This window comes from Homo sapiens, chromosome 2 (assembly GCF_000001405.40).
Source record: "Homo sapiens chromosome 2, GRCh38.p14 Primary Assembly".
Taxonomy (NCBI): domain Eukaryota; kingdom Metazoa; phylum Chordata; class Mammalia; order Primates; family Hominidae; genus Homo; species Homo sapiens.
The window spans coordinates 27,354,730-27,380,790 of NC_000002.12; the positions used below are offsets into that span (position 1 = coordinate 27,354,730).

The 26,061-nt window shown below is 51.3% G+C and overlaps 4 protein-coding genes and 1 long non-coding RNA gene across 57 annotated transcripts in view, besides 17 other annotated features; 2 read left to right on the forward strand and 3 right to left on the reverse strand.

Annotated features, from left to right (window-relative positions):
* GTF3C2 (general transcription factor IIIC subunit 2) overlaps nt 1-2,035 on the reverse strand; it is a 30,911-nt gene extending 28,876 nt beyond the window's left edge. For 9 of the 18 annotated variants that reach the window (NM_001394514.1, NM_001394516.1, NM_001394512.1 and 6 more), the window contains exon 1: nt 2,010-2,035. Coding sequence is in view for 1 of the 18 variants with exons in the window: in XM_047444016.1 (XP_047299972.1) it covers nt 1,358-1,602 (245 nt within the window). In the remaining 17 variants the exon portion in view is untranslated. Of the gene's footprint in view, nt 1-1,357 lie in introns of all 18 variants that reach the window. The other 9 variants (NM_001394511.1, NM_001394507.1, NM_001394506.1 and 6 more) reach the window with 4 other exon arrangements.
* Nucleotides 1,429-2,042: an enhancer, noted in NCBI's record as "NANOG-H3K27ac-H3K4me1 hESC enhancer chr2:27579025-27579638 (GRCh37/hg19 assembly coordinates)". NCBI's record gives its function as "activates a minimal SCP1, AML or CMV promoter by ChIP-STARR-seq in primed H9 embryonic stem cells {active_cell/tissue: H9 hESC(primed)}" and the evidence as "EXISTENCE:reporter gene assay evidence [ECO:0000049][PMID:30033119]".
* Nucleotides 1,429-2,656: a biological region, named in NCBI's record as "NANOG-H3K27ac-H3K4me1 hESC enhancers GRCh37_chr2:27579025-27579638 and GRCh37_chr2:27579639-27580252".
* Nucleotides 1,556-1,835: an enhancer, noted in NCBI's record as "active region_15499". NCBI's record gives its function as "activates an Ori minimal core promoter by ATAC-STARR-seq in GM12878 lymphoblastoid cells {active_cell/tissue: GM12878}" and the evidence as "EXISTENCE:reporter gene assay evidence [ECO:0000049][PMID:35858748]".
* Nucleotides 1,886-2,225: an enhancer, noted in NCBI's record as "active region_15500". NCBI's record gives its function as "activates an Ori minimal core promoter by ATAC-STARR-seq in GM12878 lymphoblastoid cells {active_cell/tissue: GM12878}" and the evidence as "EXISTENCE:reporter gene assay evidence [ECO:0000049][PMID:35858748]".
* GTF3C2-AS2 (GTF3C2 antisense RNA 2) lies at nt 2,036-13,151 on the forward strand. Of its 16 annotated transcripts, none has more exons than NR_183827.1 (4): nt 2,036-2,127; nt 3,079-3,173; nt 4,156-4,731; nt 12,695-13,151. It is a non-coding gene; the product is annotated as a GTF3C2 antisense RNA 2 (long non-coding RNA). The 16 variants fall into 16 exon arrangements; NR_183831.1 differs by lacking the exon at nt 2,036-2,127 and adding an exon at nt 2,411-2,643; NR_183832.1 differs by lacking the exons at nt 2,036-2,127; nt 12,695-13,151 and adding exons at nt 2,411-2,563; nt 10,348-11,155.
* Nucleotides 2,043-2,656: an enhancer, noted in NCBI's record as "NANOG-H3K27ac-H3K4me1 hESC enhancer chr2:27579639-27580252 (GRCh37/hg19 assembly coordinates)". NCBI's record gives its function as "activates a minimal SCP1, AML or CMV promoter by ChIP-STARR-seq in primed H9 embryonic stem cells {active_cell/tissue: H9 hESC(primed)}" and the evidence as "EXISTENCE:reporter gene assay evidence [ECO:0000049][PMID:30033119]".
* Nucleotides 2,236-2,365: an enhancer, noted in NCBI's record as "active region_15501". NCBI's record gives its function as "activates an Ori minimal core promoter by ATAC-STARR-seq in GM12878 lymphoblastoid cells {active_cell/tissue: GM12878}" and the evidence as "EXISTENCE:reporter gene assay evidence [ECO:0000049][PMID:35858748]".
* Nucleotides 4,795-5,536: an enhancer, noted in NCBI's record as "NANOG-H3K27ac-H3K4me1 hESC enhancer chr2:27582391-27583132 (GRCh37/hg19 assembly coordinates)". NCBI's record gives its function as "activates a minimal SCP1, AML or CMV promoter by ChIP-STARR-seq in naive H9 embryonic stem cells {active_cell/tissue: H9 hESC(naive)}" and the evidence as "EXISTENCE:reporter gene assay evidence [ECO:0000049][PMID:30033119]".
* On the reverse strand, nt 9,623-15,609 carry EIF2B4 (eukaryotic translation initiation factor 2B subunit delta). Of its 8 annotated transcripts, none has more exons than NM_001318967.2 (13): nt 15,555-15,609; nt 15,147-15,190; nt 14,685-14,816; nt 14,277-14,480; nt 13,925-14,004; nt 13,643-13,734; nt 13,296-13,410; nt 13,017-13,093; nt 12,728-12,830; nt 12,345-12,472; nt 12,030-12,207; nt 9,989-10,169; nt 9,623-9,870 (listed from the first exon to the last, which is right to left on the reverse strand). In NM_001318967.2, exons 3-13 carry the CDS (start codon nt 14,803-14,805, stop codon nt 9,671-9,673), a joined length of 1,479 nt encoding a protein of 492 aa, NP_001305896.1. In that variant the 5' UTR covers nt 14,806-14,816; nt 15,147-15,190; nt 15,555-15,609; the 3' UTR covers nt 9,623-9,670. The 8 variants fall into 8 exon arrangements, with proteins under 8 accessions (NP_001305896.1, NP_056451.3, NP_001305898.1 ...); NM_015636.4 differs by having other exon boundaries at nt 14,685-14,820; NM_001318969.2 differs by having other exon boundaries at nt 13,296-13,384; nt 14,277-14,483; nt 14,685-14,820.
* Nucleotides 14,855-15,816: an enhancer, noted in NCBI's record as "H3K27ac-H3K4me1 hESC enhancer chr2:27592451-27593412 (GRCh37/hg19 assembly coordinates)". NCBI's record gives its function as "activates a minimal SCP1, AML or CMV promoter by ChIP-STARR-seq in naive H9 embryonic stem cells {active_cell/tissue: H9 hESC(naive)}" and the evidence as "EXISTENCE:reporter gene assay evidence [ECO:0000049][PMID:30033119]".
* Nucleotides 15,290-15,569: an enhancer, noted in NCBI's record as "active region_15502". NCBI's record gives its function as "activates an Ori minimal core promoter by ATAC-STARR-seq in GM12878 lymphoblastoid cells {active_cell/tissue: GM12878}" and the evidence as "EXISTENCE:reporter gene assay evidence [ECO:0000049][PMID:35858748]".
* Nucleotides 15,790-15,879: an enhancer, noted in NCBI's record as "active region_15503". NCBI's record gives its function as "activates an Ori minimal core promoter by ATAC-STARR-seq in GM12878 lymphoblastoid cells {active_cell/tissue: GM12878}" and the evidence as "EXISTENCE:reporter gene assay evidence [ECO:0000049][PMID:35858748]".
* Nucleotides 15,790-16,778: a biological region, named in NCBI's record as "H3K27ac-H3K4me1 hESC enhancer GRCh37_chr2:27593413-27594374".
* Nucleotides 15,817-16,778: an enhancer, noted in NCBI's record as "H3K27ac-H3K4me1 hESC enhancer chr2:27593413-27594374 (GRCh37/hg19 assembly coordinates)". NCBI's record gives its function as "activates a minimal SCP1, AML or CMV promoter by ChIP-STARR-seq in primed H9 embryonic stem cells {active_cell/tissue: H9 hESC(primed)}" and the evidence as "EXISTENCE:reporter gene assay evidence [ECO:0000049][PMID:30033119]".
* SNX17 (sorting nexin 17) lies at nt 15,887-22,806 on the forward strand. 12 transcript variants are annotated; one of them, NR_049783.2, is made up of 16 exons: nt 15,887-16,077; nt 16,540-16,614; nt 17,870-18,011; nt 18,311-18,384; nt 18,518-18,582; nt 19,132-19,242; nt 19,356-19,446; nt 19,617-19,704; nt 19,960-20,029; nt 20,332-20,424; nt 20,777-20,980; nt 21,117-21,242; nt 21,377-21,454; nt 21,584-21,658; nt 21,750-21,791; nt 21,877-22,806. NR_049783.2 is itself a non-coding variant. In NM_014748.4 (15 exons), exons 1-15 carry the CDS (start codon nt 16,015-16,017, stop codon nt 21,988-21,990), a joined length of 1,413 nt encoding a protein of 470 aa, NP_055563.1. In that variant the 5' UTR covers nt 15,887-16,014; the 3' UTR covers nt 21,991-22,806. The 12 variants fall into 12 exon arrangements, 5 of the variants coding, with proteins under 5 accessions (NP_055563.1, NP_001253988.1, NP_001253990.1 ...); NR_049784.2 differs by having other exon boundaries at nt 17,894-18,011; NR_049782.2 differs by lacking the exon at nt 18,311-18,384 and having other exon boundaries at nt 16,540-16,739; nt 17,894-18,011.
* Nucleotides 15,900-15,959: an enhancer, noted in NCBI's record as "active region_15504". NCBI's record gives its function as "activates an Ori minimal core promoter by ATAC-STARR-seq in GM12878 lymphoblastoid cells {active_cell/tissue: GM12878}" and the evidence as "EXISTENCE:reporter gene assay evidence [ECO:0000049][PMID:35858748]".
* Nucleotides 16,180-16,269: an enhancer, noted in NCBI's record as "active region_15505". NCBI's record gives its function as "activates an Ori minimal core promoter by ATAC-STARR-seq in GM12878 lymphoblastoid cells {active_cell/tissue: GM12878}" and the evidence as "EXISTENCE:reporter gene assay evidence [ECO:0000049][PMID:35858748]".
* ZNF513 (zinc finger protein 513) lies at nt 22,506-26,005 on the reverse strand. 3 transcript variants are annotated; one of them, NM_144631.6, is made up of 4 exons: nt 25,743-26,005; nt 25,364-25,519; nt 23,738-24,325; nt 22,506-23,642 (listed from the first exon to the last, which is right to left on the reverse strand). In NM_144631.6, exons 1-4 carry the CDS (start codon nt 25,795-25,797, stop codon nt 22,816-22,818), a joined length of 1,626 nt encoding a protein of 541 aa, NP_653232.3. In that variant the 5' UTR covers nt 25,798-26,005; the 3' UTR covers nt 22,506-22,815. The 3 variants fall into 3 exon arrangements, with proteins under 3 accessions (NP_653232.3, NP_001188388.1, XP_005264200.1); NM_001201459.2 differs by lacking the exon at nt 25,743-26,005 and having other exon boundaries at nt 25,364-25,715; XM_005264143.4 differs by lacking the exons at nt 25,364-25,519; nt 25,743-26,005 and having other exon boundaries at nt 23,738-24,048; nt 24,155-24,247.
* Nucleotides 22,973-23,132: an enhancer, noted in NCBI's record as "active region_15506". NCBI's record gives its function as "activates an Ori minimal core promoter by ATAC-STARR-seq in GM12878 lymphoblastoid cells {active_cell/tissue: GM12878}" and the evidence as "EXISTENCE:reporter gene assay evidence [ECO:0000049][PMID:35858748]".
* Nucleotides 23,747-24,617: an enhancer, noted in NCBI's record as "H3K27ac-H3K4me1 hESC enhancer chr2:27601343-27602213 (GRCh37/hg19 assembly coordinates)". NCBI's record gives its function as "activates a minimal SCP1, AML or CMV promoter by ChIP-STARR-seq in naive H9 embryonic stem cells {active_cell/tissue: H9 hESC(naive)}" and the evidence as "EXISTENCE:reporter gene assay evidence [ECO:0000049][PMID:30033119]".
* Nucleotides 25,758-25,977: a silencer, noted in NCBI's record as "silent region_11297". NCBI's record gives its function as "represses an Ori minimal core promoter by ATAC-STARR-seq in GM12878 lymphoblastoid cells {active_cell/tissue: GM12878}" and the evidence as "EXISTENCE:reporter gene assay evidence [ECO:0000049][PMID:35858748]".

Genomic DNA, 26,061 nt, shown 5'->3' on the forward strand with positions numbered 1-26,061 from the left:
CAGCCTGAGTGACAGAGGAAGATTCCGGTTTTTTTTAAAGGATTTTCTACATCAGTATACATATATTTATCTCATTCTTCCTAATTGCTGCATGGCATTCCATAGAATTAGTTATTTAGACAATCTTCATTTAATGAACAAATGAGTTAAAATACTATTTCAAAAAATACTGCAATAAATATTCTAGTACAAATCTCTTCATTAATTCATCAATAAATTATTTTTCTCGAATAATCATCTGAACATGGAATTACTGTACTACACTGAAGAACATGCACATTTCAAAATTTGATACTACCAAACGGCTCACCAAAATTAAAACTATTTATGTATATTAGTACCCATTTTATCATACCGTTACTGATCTTTTTAATTTTCGCCAATCTGATAGGTGAAAGAATTCTTCCCCACTCTATTTATTTGCACTGATAATAATTGGTGTCAGCAACTTCTTTCTATATATTGGACATCCATATGACTTTTATGAATTGCCTGTACATATAATTTGCCTGGCCGGGCACGGTGGCTCACGCCTGTAATCCCAGCACTTTAGGAGGCCGAGGTGGGCGGATAACGAGGTCACAAGTTCGAGACCAGCCTGACCAACATGGTAAAACCCCGTCTCTACTAAAAATACAAAAGTAGCCGGGCATGGTGGCACGCGCCTGTAATTCCAGCTACTCAGGAGGCTGAGGCAGGAGAATCGCTTGAACCCGGGAGGCGGAGGTTGCAGTGAGCCGAGATCACGCCACTGCACTCCAGCCTGGGCAACAAGAACAAAACTCCGTATCAAAAAAAAAAAAAATACACTTCTCATGGAAGGCAGCAGCAGGATGTAATGGTACAAATTCTGGATACACAGTAAAGGAATAGATGATCAGTAAATTCGTACTGAGTTTCTAAAACCTTCCATTGCACCCCAATCTGTCTGGTTCCCATGCTGCTCCAGGATGCCAGCTTGACCTCCCCAGCCAAGAAAAAATAATGACACAACACTGCACCTTAAGTATGAAATTACTTTGAATACACTGCTTAGCTTAATATATTGTTTCCTAAAGTGTTCCTAGGGTACAACTGGCGGTATGCAAGATGATTTTAATGGTACGAAAACGAACATTTTAATGACTAGTGCTTTTATTTCAACTTACATAAACAATTATAAGTAGCCCATGAAACCCACGGTTTCATTTATATTGCTTAGGTCGAGACTAATGCATTTAAACTTTTTAAGTAAGTCAATTTAAAGAGAACTATTCAGAAAACAATAGTACAATTGATAAGAGATTGCAAAAATAGTGATGGCACGGGATTGACTTAAAATTGTATATGCCTCTGGAACAAAGAGGTTTGTCCATACCCTATACATCCCTCCAACAAAGTGAGTTGCCTCCGACGGAGTTGAAGTCGCCACCTCTGACTTCCCCAACAGGCAGCCAACTTGCCACGGGACAAAAGGACTAGACAGGGAAACACAACTGGCCCTTGGTTACGCCAATGGCGTTGCAGCGCGCGGGGCACAACCCTCGGGGTTAAAGAGCCTCCTCGAGGAAGAGGCTGGGACACAGCTGAAAGAGATTGACCCACAACCACTCTAGGGGCCATCACCTGCCCTTCTTCAGTCCTGGGCGTGAAGGTAGATTTCTCCCCTAGCCTGTGCGGGAGAGGAGCCCTGGTTTTTCTAACAAGGACTACTGTAGGTTCGCCGAGTTCGAGGGACGCTACGTATGCAGCGCCTACGCCCGGACACAGGCTTCCGCGTTACCGACACCGCGTGGGGGAGGAGGGCAAGACCCGAGGCTTGCAGAGATGGGGGGTGCACGGTGGCCACAGTAGGGAAGGTGCGGAGCATGATGGTGCTCTGTAGGAGCGCAGACGCTGAAAGGCGCGCTGCTGTGGCTGGGAGAAGAGCGGAGCCAGGAGTTTGTTCCCAATATCTTAGTGCTATGGCAAAAGAAGGGGGAGGAGTAATTGTGGGGCCCCCCACACACCCGCTGCGGCGATACACTCACCCTCGCCAAAGTCCTTCCGGAAGTCTAAGTTCGAAGATGGCGCCGCCTGTCTGGTCGCGGTCTTATGACGAAATCTTGTTAGCTGCTCTTCACTGACGCCCCCACCCCAGTGCACAAGGTAAACACGTGTGCTTGGTCCGGAGTCGGTGCCGGGCTAGTTTTCTCTTAGACTCTGTATTCCATAATGCAGCGCGGCCAGAGTCACCGAGCCCTCCGAAGCCAGCCGAGTTCCAGGGCGTCTTCAGCGGCGCCAGGGACGCTGCAGGGCCTCATGGGAGTTGCAGTGTCAAAAAGGGGAGATCGACGCCTGCGCGGCCAACGGGATCCCACGCGGCCTCGACGGGAGCCGGGAGTAGGCGGACTCCCAGGCCGGGCTCGCGCTCTGGATCCCTGAATCCGGCCTTTCCGGCCGGACTGCCGCGCCTGTGGCCGGAAGAGCCAGCTAGACCAGAGAGTCTGTACCTGCAACCCTGGCGGCGTCCGAGCCCAAGGCGGAGTCTGGGAGACAAAGAAGTCCTCGCCGCCGGCCGCTGGAGGATTCTGCCAGTAGTGAAGTCAGGGATGGGCCCGAGAGAGCTTGGAAAGAGGACAAGGAAGGGAAGGAGTAGGAGTAGAAAAGCATGACTTTGGCTGGGTATGGTAGCTCCTGTCTGTAATCCCAGCACTTTGGGAGGCCAAGGCGGGGGAGGATCACTTGAGCCCAGGAATTCGATACCAGCCTGGGCAACATAGTGAGACCCCGTTTTTATTTTTATTTTTATTTTTTCCTGAGATGGAGTCTTGCTCTGTCCCCAGGCTGGAGTGCAGTGGCGCGATCTCGGCTCACTGCAAACTCCGCCTCCCGGGTTCAAGCAATTGTCCTGCCTCAGCCTCCCGAGTAGCTGAGATTACAGGCGCCCGCCACCAAGCCCGGATAATTTTTGTCTTTTTAGTAGAGAAGGGGTTTCACTATGTTGGCCAGGCTGGTCTCGAACTCCTGACCTTGTGATACGCCTGCCTCAGCCTCCCAAAGTGCTGGGATTACAGGCATGAGCCACCGCGCCCGGCCTAATTTTTTAATTTTTTCTAGAGATGGGGTCTCGTTATGTTGACCAGGCTGGTCTTGAACACCTGACCTGAAGTGATCCTCTTGCCTCAGCCTCCCATAGTGCTGCGATCACAGGTGTAAGTCACTGAGTTTGGCCATTATTCCATTTCTGTACACAAAAACCTTTCTCATTCTGTGCTATAACTAGTTAGCATTTAATTGGGTGGATGTGGTATAACTAGTGCCTTGTTGATATTGATGCATATTTACATGGTTTTGCTGTTATAAACAATGGTCCCTTGCTATTATAAATCACACTGCTATAAGTAACCTTGCATCTAAATTACTTCAAATGTGTAACTATATGGGTAGGATAATTTCTAGAAGTGGAATTGTGAACCAAAGTTTTAGGTGCATTTGTAATTTTGATTTATAACCAATCTTTTCACTGATCTACTTCTCTGCCTCTAATTTCTACTAGGTGTTTGTTTGTTTGTTTGTTTGTTTTGAGACAGGGTCTTGCTCTGTCACCCAGGCTGGAGGACAGTGGTGCAATCACGGCTCACTGCAGCCTCAACCTGCCACCTCAGCCTCCTGAATAGTTGGGGTGTGTGGCAGGTGTATACCACCACTTCCAGGTTTTTTTGTTGTTGTTGTTTAATAGAGATGAGGTCTTGCTATATTGCCCAGGCAGGTCTCACACTACTGAGCGCAAGCGATCCTCCTGCCTATGCCTCCCAAAGTGCTGGGATTACAGGTGTGAGTTGCCATGCCTGGCCCGGTTATCTTTCTAAAGCATAAAGCAACCCTGTTGATCCTCTGCTTAATTTTGATGATTAAGTAGTATGTTCAAAATATAGAAATCCATGTATTGATAATGATCTTTTAAAAAAAGTAAAAGCCAAAATATCAGCTACTCATCCTACACCATTGAAAGTAGTGACCATTAAACTGCTCTACCTCTACCTCCACCTCTCTACCTCTCTACCTCTCTACCTCTACCTCTACCCACGGTCTCCCTCTCTTTCCATGGTCTCCCTCTCATGTGGAGCCGAAGCTGGACTGTACTGCTGCCATCTCGGCTCACTGCAACCTCCCTGCCTGATTCTCCTGCCTCAGCCTGCCGAGTGCCTGCGATTGCAGGCACGCGCTGCCACGCCTGACTGGTTTTGGTGGAGACGGGGTTTCGCTGTGTTGGCCGGGCCGGTCTCCAGCCCCTAACCGCGAGTGATCCGCCAGCCTCGGCCTCCCGAGGTGCCGGGATTGCAGACGGAGTCTCGTTCACTCAGTGCTCAATGGTGCCCAGGCTGGAGTGCAGTGGCGTGATCTCGGCTCGCTACAACCTACACCTCCCAGCCGCCTGCCTTGGCCTCCCAAAGTGCCGAGATTGCAGCCTCTGCCCAGCCGCCACCCCGTCTGGGAAGTGAGGAGTGTCTCTGCCTGGCCGCCCATCGTCTGGGATGTGAGGAGCCCCTCTGCCTGGCTGCCCAGTCTGGAAAGTGAGGAGCGTCTCCGCCCGGCCGCCATCCCATCTAGGAAGTGAGGAGTGCCTCTTCCCAGCCGCCATCACATCTAGGAAGTGAGGAGCGTCTCTGCCCGGCCGCCCATCGTCTGAGATGTGGGGAGCGCCTCTGCCCCGCCGCCCCATCTGGGATGTGAGGAGCGCCTCTGCCCGGCCGCGACCCCGTCTGGGAGGTGAGGAGCGTCTCTGCCCGGCCGCCCCGTCTGAGAAGTGAGGAGCCACCCCATCTGGGAAGTGAGGAGCATCTCCGCCCGGCAGCCACCCCGTCCGGGAGGGAGGTGGGGGGTCAGCCCCCCGCCCGGCCAGCCGCCCCGTCCGGGAGGGAGGTGGGGGGGTCAGCCCCCTGCCCGGCCAGCCGCCCCGTCCGGGAGGTGAGGGGCGCCTCTGCCCGGCCGCCCCTACTGGGAAGTGAGGAGCCCCTCTGCCCGGCCACCACCCCGTCTGGGAGGTGTGCCCAACAGCTCATTGAGAACGGGCCAGGATGACAATGGCGGCTTTGTGGAATAGAAAGGCGGGAAAGGTGGGGAAAAGATTGAGAAATCGGATGGTTGCCGTGTCTCTGTAGAAAGAAGTAGACATGGGAGACTTTTCATTTTGTTCTGCACTAAGAAAAATTCTTCTGCCTTGGGATCCTGTTGATCTGTGACCTTACCCCCAACCCTGTGCTCTCTGAAACATGTGCTGTGTCCACTCAGGGTTAAATGGATTAAGGGCGGTGCAAGATGTGCTTTGTTAAACAGATGCTTGAAGGCAGCATGCTCGTTAAGAGTCATCACCAATCCCTAATCTCAAGTAATCAGGGACACAAACACTGCGGAAGGCCGCAGGGTCCTCTGCCTAGGAAAACCAGAGACCTTTGTTCACTTGTTTATCTGCTGACCTTCCCTCCACTGTTGTCCCATGACCCTGCCAAATCCCCCTCTGTGAGAAACACCCAAGAATTAGCAATAAAAAAATAAATTAAAAAATAAAAAAATAAAAAAATAAAAAAAACTCATTAAGCTCTAAAAAAAAAAAAAAAAAAGAAAGAAAAAAAGAAAGTAGTGACCAATTCCTGAAAATTGGCAAAAAAAAAAAAAAGGCAAGAGTAAGGCATTTATCTTGTCTTTCCAGTATGAACTCTAGTTCAAAATAACTGATGAGAGGAAGGTTTTGTTTGTTTTTTGAGACTGAGTCTCACTCTGTCGCCCAGGCTGGAGTGCAGTGGCGCGATCTCGGCTCACTGCAACCTCTGCCTCCCAGGTTCAAGCAATTCTTGTGCCTCAGCCTCCTGAGTAGCTGGGATTACAGGCGCCCGCCACCACTCCCGGCTAATTTTTGTATTTTTTTAGTAGAGACGGGGTTTCACCATGTTGGCGAGGCTGGTCTTGAACTCCTGACCTCAGGTGATCCGCACACCTAAGCCTCCCAACGTGCTGGGATTACGGGTGTGAGCCATTGCCCAGCCCGGGATTTTTTTTTTTTTTTATAGATTAACAGCTAGTAATTGTGCAAAGAATGATAGAAAAAAATCACTATTTTGCATGTCCCAGTGAAATAATTCAGGCAACAATCACCAGTGGATGAAATCCCTAAAGAGCTTTTAGGAAGCTTTAAAATGCCTGGACCCACTCATCACTGAACATGAAACCACCAGTCATTGTTTGCCTCCTGATGTGAGGCAATATAAAGCACACAGAACCACTTATTAAACATTCTTGCCCAAAAAATTGAATAGGAATACAGGACTTAGGGGCCAGGCGTGGTGGCTCACACCTGTAATCCCAGCACTTTGGGAGGCCAAGGAGGGCGGATAATCTGAGGTCAGGAGTTCAAGACCAGCCTGGCCAATGTGGTGAAACCCTGTCTCTACTAAAAATACAAAAGAAAATTAGCTGGATGTGGTGACGCACACCTGTAGTCCCAGCTACTCGGGAGGCTAAGGCAGGAGAATCACTTGAACCTGGGAGGCAGAGGTTGCAGTGAGCTGAAATCGTGCCATTGCACTCCAGCCTGGGCAACAGAGCAAGACTCCATCTCAAATAAAAAAAAAAGAAATACAGGACATAGGGAATGAGTGAAATGACAACATAAGAAAGCAAACAGTCAAATCTAGAATGCAGAACATTTCATATGACAATCAACATGGCTTCTGTAAGCCAATGTCAATGTAAAAAGGGGATAGGAGACTGCTCTTTTTTTTTTTTTTTTGTTTGTTTGTTTGTTTGTTTGTTTGAGACAGAGTCTCACTCTGTCGCCCAGGCTGGAGTGCAGTGGCAAGATCTCTGCTCACTGCAAGGTCCACCTCCCGGGTTCACGCCATTCTCCTGCCTCAGCCTCCCGAGTAGCTGGGACTACAGGCGCCCGCCACCACGCCTGGCTAATTTTTTGTATTTTTAGTAGAGATGGGGTTCCACTGTGTTAGCCAGGATGGTCTCCATCTCCTGACCTCGTGAACTGCCCGCCTCGGCCTCCCAAAGTGCTGGGATTAGGCGTGAGCCACCGCGCCCGGCTGAGGAGACTGCTTTTTAAAAAATGTAACCAAATGTAATGTGTGGATTTGTTTGGATCTTGAGTCAAACTAAGTCATTTTTCAGCCAAGGAAATTTGATTATGGATTGAATACTAAGAAAGTATGATTTAATAAGTGATATTATGGTAAATTTCCATATTTCTTAAGAGACATTGAAGTTAAAGGAGTGAAATGATATAATGCTTGGATTTGATTTAAAGTAACTTCATCAAGGAAAAACAAGAAGGCTGAGTGCTGTGGCTCACGCCTGTAATCCCAACACCTTGGGACGCTGAGGCGGGCGGATCACCTGAGGTCGGGAGTTCAAGACCAGCCTGACCAACATGGAGAAACCCCCATCTCTACTAAAAATACAAAATTAGCTGGGTATGGTGGCACATGCCCATAATCCCAGCTACTCGAGAGGCTGAGGCAGGGGAATCGCTTGAATCCAGGAGGCGGAGGTTGCAGTGAGCCAAGATTGCACCATTGCACTCCAGCCTGGGCAACAAGAGCGAAACTCTGTCTCAAAAAAAAAAAAAAAAAAAAGAAAAAAGAAAAACAACAAAAAGAGAAAGTAAATGTGGCAAATTTGATAACTGTTGCATCTGGTCATGGAGATTCTTTGTATAGTTCTACTTTTACGCTGCTTAAAAATGTTTGATAAAACCAACATGGCATATGTATACCTATGTAACAAACCTGCACATTGCGCACATGTACTGTAGAACTTAAAGTATAAAAAAAAAATTTGATAAAATGGTTGGGTGCAGTGGCTCACGCCTGTAATCCCAGCACTTTGGGAGGCCAAGGCAGGTGGATTGCTTGAGGTCAAGAGTTCAAGACCAGCCTGACCCACATGGTGAAACCCCGTCTCTACTAAAAATACAAAAATTAGCTAAGTGTGGTGGCAGGCACCTGTGATCCCAGCTACTTGGGAGGCTGAGGCAGGAGAATTGCTTGAACCCAGAAGGCAGAGGTTGCAGTGAGCCGAGATAGTGCCATTGCACTCCAGCCTGGGAGACGAGTGACTCTTTCTCAAAAAAAAAAAAATTCAATAACACACATATATACCCAATAGATAACTCTTCATTTTAAGCTAACCAGTGGTTGGACTCACAGTCTGGCCCCAACTTACCTTTGCAGTTTGATCACTCAACAATAAGACTCAGTTCTAGCCTCACTATACTATGTGACACTTTTACATTGGCCACTCACTTTAAGGCCTATTCTTTGTGTTCAAGCTGTTTCTTCTTTTTTTTTCTTCCCTAACTGGGCAATTACTTATCTTTCAAGGACTAGGTTAGATGTGACTTGTAAGTTTTCACCAATCTTTTGTTCATACTACTACTGGGTTACCTCATACTGTAGATACTATCTTCTTATGCCATGGTAAGCGTTCCTTAAGGGAATATAGCACAAAAGTTAAGGGCACAGTTTCTAGATCCAGACTGCCTGAGGTCACATCCTGGTTTAGCTACTGACTAGCTGTGTTACCTAGGGCAAGTAACTTCATCTCTCTGTCTGCCTTGGGTAAGTAACTTAACCTTTCTGTGTCTGAGCTGTGTTGCCTTGGGCAAGCAACTTAACCTTTCTATGCTTCCATTATCTCATCTGTAAAATCGCATTTACTTCATAGAGTTGTATTATTATTTTTATTTTTAGAGATGGAGCCTCGCTTTGTTGCCCAGGCTGGAGTGCAATGGTGCCATCTCAGCTCACTGCAATCTCCATCTCCTGGGTTCAAGCGATTCTTCTGCCTCAGCCTCTGGAGTAGCTGGGATTACAGGCATGCGCCACCACGCCCAGCTAATTTTTGTATTTAGTGTAGAGACAGGGTTTCATCATGTTGGCCAGGCTGGTCTTGAACTCTTGACCTGAGGTGATCTGCCTGCCTCGGCCTCCCAAATGAGCCACTGCGCCCAGCCTTCATAGAGTTGTATTAATCTTCCTAAATGGGTAAGAAAGGGTTCAGAACAGTTTCTGACACACAGTTAAATATTCAACAAATGCTAATTTATAAGGTTAGGACTCTCTTTTTGAGACAGGGTCTCACTCTGTCACCCAGGCTGGAGTGCAGCGGCACAATCATGGCTTACTGCAGCCTCTACCTCCTGGACTCAAGCAATCCTCTGGCTTCAGCCTCCTGAGTAGCTGGAACAACAGATGAGCACAACCATGCCCAGCTAATTTTTATTTTTTGTAGAGACCGGATTGCCATGTTGCCCAGGCTGGTCTCAAACCTCTGGGCTCAAACAATCCTCCTGCCTTAGCCTCCCAAAATGCTGAGATTACAGGAATGAGTCACTGCACTCAGCCCAGGACTATTTGTTTTCATATTCCTCCTCACACCCAGTTTAGTGTCTGGCATGTAGATGCTCAGTGAATGATTGATTTGGGTAGTTTTGGTTCTTTATACGGGTCTTCAGGTTAGTCCCAATGTACTGGCATGGAGCTAGTTACTTGAGCAGGTCTTCACAAAGGTCTGAGTAGCAGGTGATAAAAGGGGTTGTGAAGTCTGGACTCCTAACTTAAGTGGTGGAGATGCTAAAAGAGAAACAAAGGCAGCAGAGTTGCTGAGGGTAGGGAGTATGGCATTTATTAACCCTGTGTTTCCCCCGTCACTGGTCACTGCTCTTGACTCGTAGAACAACAGGTACAGAACTGCAAGGGATCATCCCCAGCTCCGTGATCACCAGATCCACAAGCTCTGGGGGAGTCACATCATAGACTAGATTCAACAACCGTAGGGATGCGTGGTTCTGCCAGTTAGCCAGCGCAACATGTTCTCCCCGCTTACATTGCAGATCATCAGGGTCATCTGCAATGGAAGGCGTACCCATTATGTTCTTTCAGAAAAGAAGTTCTAGTTTATCCGCCCCTCTCCCTCCCTCTCAAGTCTTCACAGGTAGCTGGAGGCTTCTCTTTTGCCTCCTTACCTAGCTCATTAGAGACAAAGGCATCAGTCTGCACACGCTCACAGAACTTGTATGTTTCACAGCAAACCAGCACTGGTACATTATGGGCTCGAGCCACCAGGGCTAACTGTGCTGTCCCTACCCGTGACATCACAGACCCGTTGGCCAAGAGTGCATGAGCTCCCAATAGCACCTTGGAAACCTGTTTCACAGGAGAAGAGGAAGAAAAAAATGTCATTGTTGTATCAATGCAAAATAAGGTCCCCTACTTACAGGACAGCAACATTAAGACAAGTAATAAATCTCAACACCTGTGAAAAGAAGGGAAAGAAACAAAAACAGACAACAAGTAATAAATCTTTTTTTTTTTTTTCTTTGAGATGAAGTTCTGCTCTTGTTGCCCAGGCTGGAGTGCAATGGCGCGATCTCGGCTCACCACAACCTCTGCCTCCTGGGTTCAAGTGATTCTCCTGCCTCAGCCTCCCGAGTAGCTGGGATTACAGGCATGCACCACCACTCCCAGCTGATTTGTTGTATTTTTATATTTTTAGTAGAGACGGGGTTTCTCCACGTTGGTCAGGCTGGTCTCGAACTCCCAACCTCAGGTGATCTGCCCGCCTCAGCCACCCAAAGTGCCAGGATAACAGGCGTGAGCCACTGAGTCCGGCAATTAATAAATCCTTTTTTTTTTTTTTTTTGAGATGGAGTCTCGCTCTGTCGCCCAGGCTGGAGTGCAGTGGCATGATCTCGGCTCACTGCAAGCTCTGCCTCCTGGGTTCACGCCATTCTCCTGACTCAGCCTCCAGATTAGCTGGGACTACAGGCGCCCACCACCACGCCCGGCTAATTTTTTGTATTTTTAGTAGAGACGGGGTTTCACTGTGTTAGCCAGGATGATTGTGAACTCCTGACCTCGTGAACTGCCCTCCTCGGCCTCCCAAAGTGCTGGAATTACAGGCTTGAGCCACTGTGCCCGGCCTAATAAATCTTAATGATGGCTTTTCTTCTGTGAAAACACCTGACCACTGACCCACCAAATCTCCCACAGGAAAAGTAAACTTTGAAGTTACTTTTGTCTTGTTCCCTCTTCCTGGTTGCTAGTTTAATGTAATGTTTTTGCAATAGCTAGACTGCTGTAATATACTGTCAGTGTTTTTCCAATTAAATAGAAACAGAGCTATATAATTATTTTTTTTGACACAGGGTTTCATTCTGTCACCCAGGCTGGAGTGCAGTGGTGCAATGACAGCTCACTGTAGCCTCAACCTCCTGGGCTCAAGCAGTCCTCTCACCTCAGCCTCCTAAGTAGCTGGAACTACATGCGCATGCCACCATGCCCGGGTGTGTGTGTGTGTGTGTGTGTTCAAGCAGTCCTCTCACCTCAGCCTCCTAAGTAGCTGTGTGTGTGTGTGTGTGTGTGCGTGCGCGCGCGCACGCACTCAAGCAGTCCTCTCACCTCAGCCTAAGTAGCTGGAACTACATGCGCATGCCACCATGCCCGGGGTGGGGGTGGGGTGGGGTGTGTGTGTGTGTGTGTGTGTGTGTGTGTGTGTGTGTGTGTGTGTACAGGGTCTCATTATGTTGAGCAGGCTGGTCTTGAACTCCTGGGCTCAAGTGATCCTCCTGCCTTAGTGCTGAGATTGCAGGCATTGAGCCATGGCACCAAGCCAGGGCTATATAATTCTAATATTTTTAAATAATTGTGGCTGGGCACAGTGGCTCATGCCTATGATCCCAGTACTTTGGGAGGCCGAGACAGGGGGAACTGCTTGAGCCCAGGAGTTCCAGCCTGGGCAATGTAGCGATATCCCATCTCTACAAGAAAAATAAAAAACTAGCTGGGCATGGTGGCACACACCAGTAGTCCCAGCTACTCAGAGGCGGAGGTGGGAAGATCACCTGAGCCCAGGAGGTCAAGACTGCAGTGAGCTGTGATCACGTCGCTGCACTCCATCCTTATCTCAAAACAAAAACAAAACTGTAACTTTGGGAAGGTGAGATTATGTCTATACTACTACACCTTTTCACCGCCAACTTTGGAGTCCTTTTCCTCTGTACTTACCTCTGGGAGCACATAGGAGGCTGCAGGAATCAGCAGGTAGGAGGCTGGGACACCAGCATGGACTAGAGAACGTAGTGTGTGCCTTCCTTCCAGCCATGGCCGGCTGTCCACCACTACCACCCGAAACCGCCGGCCCTCTGTCCAAGCCTCCTGAAGAATTCGTGATACCAGAGATGAGCTAGAGTGAATGAAGAGGAGGATTCAGTTATAAATGTCAGTAACTGATGACTAACTTATTCCCAAAGGCAAGTGGGTAGTCCCTTCTTCAGATCATTCCAACTCCCAATCTGCTCAGTCACAAGGTCTGGACCATACCATCCATATACCAGGATCACATCTCCATTACTGATCTTCTGGTAAGCAAAGCGTGAAATTGCCTGAGCTGCTAGCACAATCTTCTCTTGCACATACCGATCAATGGCTGCTCGAAGTTCTGACTTGGCCTAAATGGAGTAAAATCCTTAGTGAACAAGAAATGGACACTTTTATCCCTCTGATGATCATGCCAGGTGCTTGAATATGTGTATGATGACAAGCCTATAGAGGGCTCAGAGATGGCACAAGTCAGAATGGCCAAACCATTCCTTAACCCTTGACTAGGGCAAAAAAAGGCTTACGTTGGCCTTCCCGGGAGTTTTTAACATGTTTCTTAATTTTACCCACAGGTGCATGCCTTCCTTATTTCTCATACTCATCACCTCCTCTTCCCGCTTGGAACTGCCCACACTGGTGATTTCCTTGTTAAGGAACTTGATGGCGTTGTGCATGCTCGCTGACAGGGGACGGCACTGAGTCAGGAAGCTATAATACAACAGCAATACCTTATATCTGCGCAACTCTTCACAACTTACAAAGCCTTCACATTTAAAAAAAAAGTCTTTAAAAAGAAAATAGAACACAAAATGAAAAGAGAGATAGAAAAGCAGGAAAAAGAGTACAAGACAAAGATTGGGCGAGCTGGGAGTGGACTTATAGTGTTGTCCCTACCTCATGTAGGGTTTTAGTTTATTCACTAGATCCCTGGAGAGTTCTTCATTAGGCGGTGTTGTGTAATCCTGAATCACCTATAGGGTACACAAGGTGATCTGCAAAATACCCCTTAATAAAGATCTCTGAACGGGGGCTGGGGGTAAGCTTCACTGAGGAAAATGTTCTGAGGGTAGGAGTATTCCCTCTGTCCCCCAGAGATGACCTTGGGTGACAGAAGCTGGGGTAGTATTGGGGGAGGTGGGGTTGGATCATAAGAGAGAACAGGATGGGACATACCTGCTGCAAGGCACGAAGCAGGGCAATACACCGGGCATTGGAGCCACTGACCAGGCCCTGGGAGTACTGCAGGCCGAGTCGCACCATGGCTGGGTGGATCACAGAGGATGGGATGCTGATGGGATGGCGGTGTCACATACTTTGAAAGGGAGCTTGAGCATCTACTGCCCACCTGCCCCTGATGAAAAGGAACTCCCTTCACTAGCAGATTTCCCCACTCCTCTACAGTTCTGCCTTGGGTTCATACTTTTTCCTACAGAGTCCATCTCAGATTACTAGAAACTTTCAATACTGACTTACTAAAACTCCTCAGACTCAAAAGTTATGACAATTTCATAGGATCCTACCTCATAAACTGGGTCAGAGAGTTTTGTCTGCTGTACTGGGGTAGGTGAGAGAAGAGACTGACTTTGGATCCATAATCCTTTCGTGTAGGAACCTTGACAAAACAAGGGAACAGGACCAATGGCCCAGAGTTTAAAAAGGATGGGATAAAGCTGGAAAGGAAGTGAACAGTAAGACTACTCTGACCCAAGCACCTATCCTTCTCACTTTGCACCCAGCACCTTTCCTCCCTCCAGTCCATTTCCCTAGGCTCTTTCTAGCCAGGCACCAAACCCACTTCCTACCTGTTGACGCTCTGGTTTTTTAACAAGCCTTCTCAGAAGTAGGTCATCAACCTGAGGGTACTCAGGGAGACGCTTCACTCCTGAAAGATAATCATCATGTTTTCAGGACACTGTAGGTCTTGAAATGTGTAATTTGCTCTTAGGGTATAAGGGGCATCAAGAAAAACAGGATGAGGTGGAGAAAACGGGAGAATAGGGTAGAAAAGGAAATAGGGATAGGATAATGGGGTTGCAGGAACAATTCAGAACTCTGGGTCCCAAGAATGAGAGGGGAGAGCTGTTTTACTATTGGGCAGCCTGAGCTGGCGTTATAATTAGGAGTAAGGGAGGTCTTAAAATGAAGGGAAGATACCTGAGGGGGTTTCTCCAGCTGTGCTGGGGCTGGCCTTAGGAGGTGGTCCTCCTTGTTCCCCTTTTCTTGCCTGTTTCAGGGCCCGCTCGGCCTCCTGCTTGGCTCGACGCTCAGCCCGAAGTTCGGCCTTACTCCGACCAGCTGGAACTTTCTCCCGAGGAGTGCCCAACTGAATGCCCGATTCTGGCAGTTCTCTGGTTGGGCCTACTAAAAGCATTAAAAAAAAAAATGCCCAAGCTGCAGGCAGGTGATATCCGTGCCCCAGCTAAAACTAGCTTCTCTCCTTGTAAACCTCTTTGCTTTACACACTTGCTCAAATCAACTTTGTCCTGTCTCTCCCTTATCTCTCCCACCACATCCCTCTACCAGCTCCACACCCCAGCCCTTTAAAAGAGACCCCTCACTCACCTTGACATTGGGCTGCAGATACAGCAGAGCCAGTCTCTGGTTCTGCCCCCTTTTCTTCCTTCCGTTTCTTCTTCTGCTGTTTCTTTTCCTTCCGAAGCTGCAGCTTTTCTTCTTTGGTCATTTCCCTCCCCACTGCCTGAGACACAGACATAGGATACTGCTCTTCCCCAACAATTCCAAAGGGGAACAAATACTATTGGATGCTTACAAGATTTCCACATGGTTAAATCCCTAGTTCTTCCTAACTTCCACAAGCTACCTGTTGCAAGCTTACATCCACAGAGGCTGACGTTTCTCCTCCAGGGACAGAATCATATATCCCTAGGGTTGCAAGACCTCTGTAAAATCTCCTGGCTTTACTGAGAAATAAACCGACACGGGATGGGAGCTGGGGCGGAATAAAGCTGGCACAGCCTCCTGCGTAGCGCTTGGCAGGCGGCTTGGGAGGGAAGCCTCACTTACCCCAGGCCCAGGGGGAAGCTCCGCCTTCATCCCGGATCCCGAGTCTGCATCAGAAAACAGGGCACAAAGTGAGCCAGAGAGACTCCGGGAGGGTTTGGGGGCACGAGTACTCGGCGCAGCCGGCTGCTGGGTTGGCATGACCACGGATCCGCCGGCAGGCGCGAGGCGAGCCAGGGATCCGCGTGGGGACGCACTGCGCGGCGGATCAAAGGAATGGAGGGGTCACCGACCCTCCTCACAGCAACCAGCCGGTGCGCGGCGCGGGACTGCGCTCGAGACTGTGTAGACCGGAGCCCAGCGTGGCGCTGGAACGGAGCGGCGGGGCCCAAAGGCGCTCAAGGCCCGGCACTAGCTGTCCGGAGCTCGTCGGCTCCGCGTACCAGTAGGCAGGCCCGGCTCTTCACTCACCCTCGCGAACAGCCACGGCCACAGCAGCCATCGCCCTCAGTCCTAGGCTCCGCCCGCCGTGGTCACGGAGCCGCCCCGCTGCCTCGCTCCGCGGCTGCAGGGTCCACAGCGCCACCTGGGCTGGAGGCTGAGCCGCAGAAGCGAAGCGCGCAGCCCCAATCGGACTACAATTTCCGACGGGCCCCGAGGCCCCGCCCCGCACTACGGGTTGCAATGAGGGCCAACTCCACTTTGGGCTCCCTATCCGGACAGGTGGCTCTTGCCCTTTAGACTACAGTTCCCAGCATGCCCAGGCGATTGCGTCCCAGAACCGACGTCCCACCGCCTTCCCACATCGGATCGCAGGGCTCCCAAAATGGCGAGTGAGGCTGCGGGGACTCGCTGAGCAGCGGAGGGGGAGCGTGCAGAGCCGCTGCGGCCCTCACAGTCCGGAGCCCGGCCGTGCCGTGCCGTAGGGAACATGCACTTTTCCATTCCCGAAACCGAGTCCCGCAGCGGGGACAGCGGCGGCTCCGCCTACGTGGTGAGGAGCGGCCGGAGCCGAGCCGGGCCGGGCAGGGGCGGGGATAACGGGCCCGAGCCATCTCGGAGCGGCCTCTGAGGCCTGACCGCCACCCTTCGGGCCTGGTCCTGGGCCGCCGACTCCCGACGGCCTCTCTGGGAGCTTATCTCATGTGTGTGATTCGTGCAGTGGTCGCCCGAGCTCCTGTAGGCCCTTAGGCCGGGTCGCTTCCCCGAGCTAGGCCGCAGCTGCCCTGGTGGGCGTCACTGGCCTCTTGGGCAGTGAGACTGCAACACAAGCGTCCGAATTTCCCCCGGACTGGCTCTTCAGCTTTGGGACTTGGCCCTGGCGAAAACAAGCGAACTATCCCTCGGGAGATTAGCGCGTTACTCCGGCGAGTTGCCAGGCAACTTCCGGCCAGGGTTCTCAGGGGGGTTGCGCAGACCGCAACCCTAAAATGCTTGACTACTTTTGTGTCCTCAGGCCTATAACATTCACGTGAATGGAGTCCTGCACTGTCGGGTGCGCTACAGCCAGCTCCTGGGGCTGCACGAGCAGGTGGGACTAGCACCCCTGCCTTGAGACAGCTTCAAGCCCTTCCCTACACGTGGACATCAGTGTCTCCCTTTACCCGCTCTTCTTGTTCCCGTAGGCTGTAGTTCCCCTTTAATCACTGCCACAGGGTAGGGCCCTGGTTTATCTTGTCTGACATTTCCGGGAACTCCCTAAGAAGCTTAATGTCCGCGCAACAACTGCTCCTTCCTGTTCTTATATTCTGGTTTTCTGTCCAGTCTTACTGCTCTAGTAGCCTTTACCCCTGCATGGACAAACCAACCCCTCCCCCCACTACCTCCACCCAGGCTGTCAAAGCACATTCCTTCTGTCATCTGAGCGGCAACTTGAAATTCTTTTCCCTGCTTATACAAACGATTCACCGATTTCCTTTTGTGTTCTTCGGCTCATTTCAGTGTGTTTAGCTGTGCCAATTATCGTTATGTATCTGTGATGCAATGTTTCTCCTCCTTCCTTACCAGATCTTAAACTCTATTTAACTCAGTAGAGCTCCACTGATAATTAGTTGTGCAACCCTGAACAAGTTACCTGATATCTTTTTTTGGGACGGAGTTTCTCTCTTGTTGCCCAGGCTGGAGTGCAGTGGCACGATCTCGGCTCACTGCAACCTCTGCCTCCTGGGTTCAAGCGATTCTCCTTCCTCAGCCTCCTGAGTAGCTGGGATTACAGGCGGCTGCCTCCACACCCAGCTAATTTTTGTATTTTTAGTAGAGAGGGGTTTCACTATGTTGGCCAGGCTGGTCTCAAACTCCTGACCTCAGGTGATCCACCCACCTTGCCTCCCAAAATGCTGAGATTACAGGCATGAGGCCTGTAGAAACTGATTTCTTTGGGCCTCAGTTTCTACAACTGAAAGATGGATTCTTTGATCTGCAAAGTCCCTTTAAGTCCTAAGATATTTTGTGAACAGACTTAGCTATTAACTGTGCACTTTATAAAGCCCTTTCCTTCCTTTAAGGGTTCAGTGAACAGTCTTGCTAGGTGGTCAAGGGGCTCCCTATAGGTCCTGGCCCAGTACAAATCCTCCCCGTACTGTGGAGGGGCTGACTTGTACACAGTAAAATAGAGCACAACTTATATCTAGGACAGCTCCCTTGAGGTGCTACCGCTGTCAAAGGAATTGTTTCTCAGATGACCAGGGTAGACAGGGGAACAGGGACTGAGGGAAGGGAGGGGCACCCAAGAGAACATTATGAGCATATGTAGATTGCCTCATCTCATTTTCTGTGTTTATGTGAAGGGTTGTATCTCTTTCTCTAAATAGCTTCGGAAGGAGTATGGGGCCAATGTGCTTCCTGCATTCCCCCCAAAGAAGCTTTTCTCTCTGACTCCTGCTGAGGTAGAACAGAGGAGAGAGCAGTTAGAGAAGTACATGCAAGCTGGTGAGTGGTTGCAGGAAACTAGGTTGACTATATTGAGGACTATGGGGAGAGACTTAAAAACAGCTGGTTCTGTGGAAGGGCCTGATTTAATTTCTAGATCTAGGAAGGCTCTTGTTTGATCTGTTATGCAGTTAGCAAAGTAAATAGTGTACGAGGATGTGTAACTCTGTGTACTAGCAAAACAATTTGGGCACTAACATCTATGAGAAATACTAGTATAACACTAGTCTTAATATCAGTGGAGAGAACTTAATTTGTATCTGATGTGCTTTAGATTAACATCATTGTTATTTCCCTAGTTCTATAGACTGGACTCACCTAGATGGCAGCCAAGGGTGGGGCAGGTGAAGAATTTATGCAAACAGTGAGTGAGGTGAGGCCAGCTGGGGGATGTGGCAGGCCACCATCAGCCCAGGAAATGGGGTCGGGGGAACCTACTGAGAGGAGGACTGGGGAGCCAAGAGTGAGTGCTAAGTTCCTGTAATAATGTTCTCTTGTCCTCGTAGTTCGGCAAGACCCATTGCTTGGGAGCAGCGAGACTTTCAACAGTTTCCTGCGTCGGGCACAACAGGTAGGGCTTTGGGTGGGACCAAGATTTAAGGAAAGGACCTTGCTGGAAGGTCATGTCTTTTATTTTTTTGAGACAGAGTCTTGCTCTTTTGCACAGGCTGGAGTGCAGTGGTGCGATCTCAGCTCACTGCAATCTCCGCCTCCCGGATTCAAGCGATTCTCCTGCCTCAGCCTCCCAAGTAGCTAGAATTACAGGCGCCTGCCACCATGTCCGGCTCATTTTTGTATTTTTAGTGGAGACGGGGTTTTGCCGTGTTGGCCTGGCTGGTCTCGAACTCCTGACCTCAGGTGATCCACCCGCCTTGGCCTCCCAAAGTGCTGGGATTACGGGTGTGAGCCACCACACCCAGCCAGGCCATGTCATCTTAATAACAGAGGAGTCATCTTTTTTAATGGAATGGAACTTCTATTCTTATGAAATCAAAGAAATCACAGCCTATATTTAAGCAGCTGAGAATAAAGACACACAAGGGACCTAGAAATAGAGTTGGGCATAGGTCAAGGCAAGGGACAAGGCAGTGCTTCCCATCCCCATGTGTGCTCACAACAGGAGACACAGCAGGTCCCCACAGAGGAAGTGTCCTTGGAAGTGCTGCTCAGCAACGGGCAGAAAGTTCTGGTCAACGTGCTAACTTCAGATCAGACTGAGGATGTCCTGGAGGTGAGGCGCTTGTTCAGCACTGCCCCTTCTTCCCCTACATCCTGGGGTCCTGGGCTTGGAGAATGATTGGAACCAGCCAGTATGATGAGCTGTACTTCTATCCCTATCCCCAGGCTGTAGCTGCAAAGCTGGATCTTCCAGATGACTTGATTGGATACTTTAGTCTATTCTTAGTTCGAGAAAAAGAGGATGGAGCCTTTTCTTGTGAGTTTCTCTGGACTTGACTGCAGTACAAGGGTACTTCAGTAGAGTTTGCAGCCCCCCTAACTCCCCACCCCCACCCCCAGAATGAACATTGCCTCAGGGCACTTCTTTCTTGATTTCCCTTCCTTTAAATCTCACTATATTTTCATTTTTTTTTTTTTAACCTGTAGTTGTACGGAAGTTGCAAGAGTTTGAGCTGCCTTATGTGTCTGTCACCAGCCTTCGGAGTCAAGAGTATAAGATTGTGCTAAGGAAGAGGTCAGGGCTGGGCCTGGAAGGGGAGGGGTGGGAGGTGCTGTGCTGGATTGGATTATTGGGCCACATATTGAGACAGAATAATCTGGACAAGGGGGTGTAGTGCTGGGTGTTTCTGCCAGGCCTCCCAAGCTTCCTCCCACTATACCATTAGCCCCTGATAGTTCCAGATTGCTCCTGTTTTGCCCATTTTCCATTCTACCTCTTGCCTTAACCCAGCTTAGCCCCATTACCCCTTTCCACCCCTTGGCCTCACAGTTATTGGGACTCTGCCTATGATGACGATGTCATGGAGAACCGGGTTGGCCTGAACCTGCTTTATGCTCAGGTGAGCTTGGAGCTGCCTCAGAACCCTTCCCCTGAAGAAAATAACGGGTGACTCACTCTCCCAAGAAAACTGCTGTCGTGTCTTTGTTCCCAATTTGTGGGGAAGTTCCTAGAATACTATCAGTGCTGCTGGCACAATATCTACTCTCCCTACTTTTATTAAGCTGACAAGATCAAGGACTTACTGCAGAGAGGTCGCTCAAGTGTGGGGCTAGGGGTCAGGCTGGACAGAGGTAATGGTAGACGCTTTCCTTGGATTGCTGACTGGGACCTCCTACTGCCTGCCCCTTGTCTCTACTATAGACGGTATCAGATATTGAGCGTGGGTGGATCTTGGTCACCAAGGAACAGCACCGGCAACTCAAATCTCTGCAAGAGAAAGTCTCCAAGAAGGAGGTGAGCCCTGCCTCCTCTCTGTCTTCCTCTAAGGGCTTGCAGTGGCGCGATCTTGGCTCACTGCAAGCTCTGCCTCTCAGATTCATGCCATTCTCCCGCCTCAGCCTCCCGAGTAGCTGGGACTACAGGCACCCGCCACGACGCCCGGCTAATTTTTTGTATTTTTGGGAGAGACAGGGTTTCACCATGTTAGCCAGGATGGTCTTGAGCTCCTGACCTTGTGATCTGTCTGCCTCTGCCTCCTAAAGTGCTGGGATTATAGGCATGAGCCACCGCGCCCGACCGGGGTTGCTTTTTCTGAGCTGCCCCATTCTCCCTCCTAATCTACCCCCATGTGATGACCATTTTTCAGTTCCTGAGACTGGCCCAGACGCTGCGGCACTATGGCTACTTGCGCTTTGATGCCTGTGTGGCTGACTTCCCAGAAAAGGACTGTCCTGTGGTGGTGAGCGCGGGCAACAGTGAGCTCAGCCTGCAGCTCCGCCTGCCTGGCCAGCAACTCCGAGAAGGCTCCTTCCGGGTCACCCGCATGCGATGCTGGCGGGTCACCTCCTCTGTGAGTCGGGTTAGGAGGGGGAAGGGCCTGGGTTGGGGGCCCGGCAAGCCTTGAGCTTAGGTATGGGCTGCAGCGGGTCAGGGAGCCAGACAGGTTGGTCAGAGTGAACTCAACCGAATTCCCCTTCCTCTCCCAGGTACCATTGCCCAGTGGAAGCACGAGCAGCCCAGGCCGGGGCCGGGGTGAGGTGCGCCTGGAACTGGCTTTTGAATACCTCATGAGCAAGGACCGGCTACAGTGGGTCACCATCACTAGCCCCCAGGTGTGAACCTACCCTCAGCCCTCCTCTGGAGCACCTTAAAGTGTAGAGTTTCCAGTACTCAATATGGGAGGCATTAGTGGTGCTGGGCTCAGAGTGACCACTCTCATCAAGCTGGACACTCTTCTTGCCCTCAGGCTATCATGATGAGCATCTGCTTGCAGTCCATGGTTGATGAACTGATGGTGAAGAAATCTGGCGGCAGTATCAGGAAGGTAGGCAGCAAGTGTGGACTGAGCAGTGAGCAGGTGTGCTCCCCTTGCCTTTTGTCCTAGATGTGAGGCTTGTCTTGAGAGGGAGGGGAAGTGATCCTGCCCTCACCGGCACCTTGTGTCTGTCCCCAGATGCTGCGCCGGCGGGTGGGGGGTACTCTGAGACGCTCAGACAGCCAGCAAGCAGTGAAGTCCCCACCACTGCTTGTAAGTATTACCTCCTGGTCAGAACCCTGGCTCTCAGCCCTGCCTCACCTCTCCTAGTGAGTTTCTGACACCTCTGCCTCTTCTTCCCCAGGAGTCACCTGATGCCACCCGGGAGTCTATGGTCAAACTCTCAGTGAGTTCCAGCGTTGGTGAGGTTGCTGTTTGTTGGGGGATCTTGCACGCCCAAGATCTCTGACCCCACCCTGCCTTTGTTACAGAGTAAGCTGAGTGCCGTGAGCTTGCGGGGAATTGGCAGTCCCAGCACAGATGCCAGTGCCAGTGATGTCCACGGCAATTTCGCCTTCGAGGGCATTGGAGATGAGGATCTGTAATCTCCACTGCTTGGATGTCTGCCCTCTACCCCAGAGGAATTTACAGAAACTTGCCCTGTGCCTGTGTCCCCCATGCTAGGGGCGGAGGGGTCTTTTCCTTCTTCTTTCCTACCTACCCCTTTTCTCTTGGCCAGGGGCCTCGTATCCTACCTTTCCTTGTCCCCTGGGCTGGCTGCACAGAGGATTGCCCCTTCTCTTTTCAGAGCTGGCCCTCGATGCCAAATTAGCATTTAGTATTTTGCACAAAGTCTAAGGGACCATGGCTGCCTGCCTTGGGGAGGAACCATATCTCCCTCTGGGCCGCTTCTGGCCTCTTGGAGCCATGGGCCAAAGGCCAAGGGGATGGGCAGAGGTCTGTGTTTGGTCTGGCCCAGTTCCCCATCATTAAACTCAGCCTGACTGCTGCCTACCTCTGGTTCCCTCTCACTGCCCCTGCTTCCCCCATCACAGCATGGACTACTATGCTAAGGGTAAGGCCAAATTGCCTGCCATTGCCAATTCAGCATAGACATGGCTTTGTTAGTGTTTCCTTTATTATAAAGCACTGAAATAAGTTAAATAAACAGGTGGGAGGCTGGGCAGTCCCCCAGCCGGTTTGTCCACAGCCCCTGGGGGCAGTGGAGGTGAATACAGGGCCCTTCTCACTGAGCTCGTGAAGTGCCTCAGTCAAGGCAAGGTCCCCTGGTCCATATGGGCCCCCCCGCCCATGGGGTTGGGCTGGTCCTTATAGTGCCTACGTTAGTCTGTGTGGAGCCCCTGGCCAGCGGGGGAGAAAAAGGTGGCTTCTGGTCCGTCTGTATAAAACATGGGGAAGAAGGACCTAGTTCAGGATGAGTCTGTGTGGACAGCCCGGCTGCCAGCAGTCCCCAGGGCTGGTGGGCCCCGAGAGCTCAAAACAGAGGGTGGGCTATGAGGTGGGGCCCAGCCCTCAGAGGCAGAGAGACCAGGCCCTCCTGCCCCACCGTGGCCATGCACCTTCTGGTGGCGCTTGTAGTTGTCCCAGTGGCCCGTGGTATAGGCGCAGGTGGCACAGCGGAAGGGCTTCTCGCCTGTGTGCCGCAGCATGTGACGTTTGAGGTTCATGCTCTGGTTGCAGCTGTAGTTGCAAAGGCTACACCGAAAAGGTTTGTCACCAGAGTGGATGCGACCATGACGCTTGAGGTTGGCCAGATTGCCACAGGCATAAGGGCAGAGGGGGCACTTGTAGGGCTTCTCTCCTGTATGGACGCGCTGGTGCCGTTTCAGGTTATCCAGATGAGCAGAGGCATAAGGACAGCGGGCGCAGCGGAAGGGCTTCTCACCACTGTGTGTCTTCATGTGCCGGGCCAGGTGGTTGGGATAGTGAGTGGCAAAGGGGCAGAGGCTACAGGCAAAGCCTTTGTCACTGGGGCCCTGGGGCCCCCCACTGGCACCCCCTCCAGCCTCTCCTCGCATGCAGCGCCCACACATGGCAGCTCCCAGCCGACTACCCTCACCCTCCTCCAGCTCTTGTCCACAGCCCCGGCAGGTCCAAGGGAATAGCAGCTCTGGCAGTGGTTCTGATCCAGTCCCGCAGAGGCCCTCCCCTTCACCCCGCAGCTGCCCACAGTCTGGCAGGAAACTGGCACCACCTGGTGGCACATGGAGGCTCAAATCTGGAAGGAGCAGAGCATCTGTGGGGACAAAGACCTGGGCTATGAATCCAATCCAAGCATTCCTAGGGTCAGCCACCCATGTCCCAAGATCTTTGGTCCCTGGTGTGTCTTACCTTCAGGTCGCCGGGGCACCGCCCCCTCCTGCTCTGTGGGACTGGGAGGCCGGGCTGGTCGTGGAGTACAGCAGCGGAAGCCACAGGTCGGGCAGGGAGGAGTGGGGGGCCCTGCGTGGGTACGCTGATGCCGCCTCAGGTTGCCCAGGCTGCTGCAGGCAAAGGGGCAGTGGGGACAGCGGTAGGGCTTCTCGCCAGTGTGGGTGCGGGTATGTCGTGTCAGGTTGACGAGCTGGGCTGAGGCGTAGGGGCAGCGGCCACAGCGGAACGGCTTCTCTCCGCTGTGTGTCTGCATGTGCCGCTTCAGGTGGCTCGAGTAGTGGGACACGAAGGTGCAGAGGCGGCATGAGTACAGTAGCCGTGGGGGCAGCAGGGGCCCCCCACCCGGCCCTCCTGCCCCACAACACGGCCCCTCACCTGTCGGCCCCCCACACAGCTGGCAGGCTGGGCCTGGCCTCTCACCCCTGGCCTCCCCTGGACCCCTGGCTGGCTCCTCAACTTCACTCTCCGCACTTAGTGCCCGGCCGCCCCCAGACTCATCGTCGCTCAGCCCATAGGGAAGCCCAGGCCTGGCCCCCAGAGAGTCTCCTGGTGAAATAGACATAAGAAGAGACATCAGCATAGGGTAGGATCAGGCTCCAAACTCTCCCCTTTTCACTTATGGTCTCCCCACTTGCTTGGCTCCACCCTTAGCTTTGATGATCCCTTTAGTTCCCTCCTAGGAATCAAGGTCTCCCCTGCAGTAATTCCAGAAAATTCAACATGAATTGTCTACCTCTTACACTGGACTAATCTAGTGATGGTAGAATTGACCTGTATCTAGTTTCCCTCAATGGTCAAGGATCAAGGGCTCACAGTGGATCACAGACTGAAATGAATCCATAATGAAATTAATTCTTGAGACAAGAAAGTAAAAATACGAAAGGGAGAGAGCCCCCAAGACCTTTTTCTAAGCTCTATTGCTAAGGCCCCTTTTAGTAAGGAGCTGATATAAAATAAAACCTATCTCTGAGGCAAAATTTGGAGGGAAGTGGAGACAATGAAAGTAATGCATGTAATACCACTTGCCTGCCTAAAGAACAGATATTTACATGGATCCCCTCAATGACTTTCAAAAAACATCTTGCATAAGTGGATGGGTAGTGCAGCAAATTAGGGTAGGGTGATGCTAAGATCACAGGGAAGAGGGACATGGAAGGATAAAGACAGAAACTAAAACCTCTCAATACAAAAGGAGCTTACGCTGCAGGTGAAAGGGAGTTAGATTAGACCTAAATACTGGGTTGAATGATTTACAGAGAGTTTGCTTCCCTGAACCTCTCTTAAAAGTAAATACACATAAGGAATGGGCTAGGGAGAGAGACAGGGCATTTACTTTTAATCAGTTGCTCCATGTGATTCACCCACCCTCCTATTCCTATCACCTTTGACCAGGCCTCAGAACTTCACCTCAACAAAGTGATGGAAGTGATTGGACCATTAAACAAATGAAGTCATCTAGCTCAAATGTAAACTAAACCAGCCCTCGGTTGTGGCAGGAAATGGTGTTCTGTTCACCTAACCTGCCTCCTGAAGGGCTGGGGTCTCCAGCGGCCGCTAATCCTTAACCAAGACCCGAAAACCCACCTTCCGAGTCTCTCTCGAAGCCCATGAGCTGGTCACTGTTGCCGTCGCCTTCCTCCTCTTCCTCTTCCTCCTCAAACTCCAGATCCTGGCCTAGTAGCAAATCACTCTCCAATACCAGGGCCCCGGGTCCTTCGTCGAGGGAGTCTTCAGTATCCACTGAAGAGGGGAGGGGGCTTGTGGATTCTCCCTCAGGAACCAGCCCTCGTGGACCACACTTCCCGTACTCGCTGACCCACTCTGATTCCCTTAGTGCCTCGGTGGGAAGCTAGGAGTCTGGATCGCCCACTTCATCCCTCAGGAGTCCCCCTCCACCCTGACCTGAGCCCACTCCACTGACCCCACCCCCGCTCCTCTCCCCTCAAGGCCCCTGACCCCTGACCTTTGACCCCCTCGCATTTCACGGGCTGCGGGTGGCTTTGCTTCCTTCGGGGCATCGTGACCGGCTCCAGCCCGACGCGCCTCCGGCCTGCGGCCGCCCGACCCCGCCCCTCCTATCTCGGCCCGCCTGTCTGCCCTTCCTCTCAGGGCCCGCGGGCCGCCCCCATGCAGCGGCGCGGGCCCTGGGCAGCCCCCGGCCCTGGCCCCGGCGCCCAGCTCAGGCCGCTCCCGCCGCCGCCGCCGCTTCCATTCATGGAGCCCCCTACCCCCCTACGGAGACCAGCTGGTACCTCCGTACTCGCTTCCGCTTCCGCCGCCGC